Here is a 2,342-nt window from a genome sequence, read left to right as displayed (position 1 = left end):
AGTATCATTTTTTAGAAAATAAACAGGTACCCTACCCCTAGGGGCTCAGCTGCCCAGCATTGTCAGAGCTCCTTGATGCACAGTGCTTTGCCTCCTGAACTATTTCTGTGTTCTTCTGCCCCAGACTCACCCCTGGAGCAATGATAGCTCGGGTCCCTGAGCACTGACCCTCACTTTCCTTAGCATGACTCTGCCCTTGGAAGCAGCCCTGGGGAGCCTCCTGCTCAGCTCCTCCAGTCTCCAGGGCCCTTCCCTGGCACTGGGTATGTGGCCAGGATGCTTCTGGACCTGGGTGTGGGCAGGCTTAGCGGTGTGAACAATGGAACCCAAGCCCAGAGAGGCAGAGCATTTAGATCGGGAGTCTGCATCGAATAGGACAGCTGGCCCACACACTTGTAGATTTACCTGGAAGTTCCTACTTGTTTGGGGACAAGGGTATTGATGATGAAGGGCAGCTCTGCACAGACCCAGGAGCCAAGGGCATGTTCACGTCCTCCCAAGTGAGGAGGGAGGAGGGACCACTGCCCACCACCCTGAAGCTCATGCTTGTCCTTGACTCCTTTTTCTCTTCATCCTAACATTCCTTATCGTTTTGGGTTGTGAAAATATTTCATGCTAAGTAACTTCTCCTTTGACGTTTTATCCTTTTTACAATGGAGTTTGTGCTTCCCCCTCCTTTTTCTCGGTAGGGAAGGGACTCCCAGAGCCCTGAACTTCAGGGAGGACACACCAACACACGAAGGCACACACACACACAATCTCTGATCCTCCTGCTGACACGTGGCTCATTAATCACACTCCACAGCTCACATTGTCCAGAGCTTACATCACGAAGCAGCGTCCTGTGAAGAGGCTGGGTCTGAAGAGCACATGAGGCAGAGAATGTGCATTGTCAAGTTGATTTACACTTAGAAGAGTCAGCAACAGATTGTTGGCATCATGAATCGTGGCTTAAAGATCTTTGCATCGCAGGAAGAAGGGCTCCTTCGGCATCTGAGGGTTTCAACCCTCTGGCTCCTTCAGTGAGGTCTTTCATGTGGGAAAGTGATCATGAAAAATGCCACCTTTCTTTGGAAGGGGCTTCTCTGAGATTCTAAAATATTTGAATTCACCTTAAAAGGGAAAGATGGGCATTCTGTCCTTGATTTGTCTGCAGACCTCACCACCTTGACAGATATGTAGAGTTGTGATCTTGGGTGAGTAACTCAACGTTTCATGACCTCATTTGTTTTTTTATAAATTGGGATGAAAAACGGCACACATCCAGTGAGCTGGCCCTAATGACTAAGACAAAGAGTGCACAAGAGTGAAGTCTGATGTAGGCGTTAGAGATCGTTCTCATGCTCATTCTCGCAGACACTGCCTTGAGTTTCACAGGCTGTGCTTTTCATGTCCCTGTCCCCTCTCCCCAAGAGAGCCCAGGGAGAGCCCTGTGACTAACACAGAGCTTCACTTCCTGCAATTCCTCTCCCACAAGGAGCACTTCTGTCTTCTGATTCAGGACGATGTTCCTATGGAGGCAGAATAATGGCCCCCAAGATGCCCACATTCTAATCCCCAGAGCCTGTAAATATGTGACCCTCCATAACAAAAGGGACTTTCCAGATGTGATTAAGAGTTTTTTTGTTATTTATTTATTTATTTTTTTACTTTTTTCATGAAAAAAATCATTTGAACTTTTATTTTAGATTCAGGGGATACACGTGCAGGTTTGTTATATGGGTATGTTGCTTGATGCTGAGGTTTGGGGTACTAAAGATCCCATCACCCAGGTACTGAGCTTAGTACCCAAAAGTTAGTTTTTCAACCCCTGTTCTCCTTCCTCTCTCCCTCCCTCCGCCAGTAGCCCCTAGTGTCTATTGTTGCCATCTTTATGTCCATGAGCCCCAATGTTTAACTCCCACTTATAAGTGAGAATATGTGGTATTTGGTCTTGTGTTCCAATTTCACTGATACAGACCCTCCTGTCTTCCAATTATTCACTTAGGATGATGGCTGACAGCTACATGCATGTTGCTGTCAAGGACATGATCTCATTCTTTTTTATGGCTGTATAGTATTCCACAGTGTATAGGTACCACATTTTCTTTATCCAGTCCACTGTGATGGACATCTAGGTTGACTTCATGTCTTTGCTATTGTGAATAGTGCTGCAATGAACATATGTGTGCATGCATCTTTTTGGTAGAATAGTTTATTTTCCTTCAGGTATATACCCAGTAATAGGATTGCTGGGTCAAATGATGGTTATGTTTCAAGTTCTTTGAGAAATCTCCAAACTGCTTTCCACAGTGGCTGAACTAATTCACATTCTCACCTACAGTGTATAAGCATTCCCTTTT

General features: G+C 45.8%; 1 annotated feature.

The window, feature by feature from the left end:
- Positions 286 to 455: an enhancer, noted in NCBI's record as "experimental_57404 CRE fragment used in MPRA reporter constructs". NCBI's record gives its function as "activates a minimal promoter by MPRAs in K562 erythroleukemia cells, with activity observed for both the introgressed and non-introgressed 2:239730697 variant alleles {active_cell/tissue: K562}" and the evidence as "EXISTENCE:reporter gene assay evidence [ECO:0000049][PMID:34662402]".

The sequence above is a fragment of the Homo sapiens genome, chromosome 2 (genome assembly GCF_000001405.40).
Source record: "Homo sapiens chromosome 2, GRCh38.p14 Primary Assembly".
Lineage (NCBI taxonomy): Eukaryota > Metazoa > Chordata > Mammalia > Primates > Hominidae > Homo > Homo sapiens.
The sequence above is the reverse complement of the archived record's forward strand: the minus strand, read 5'-3'. Positions and strand labels throughout refer to the sequence as shown.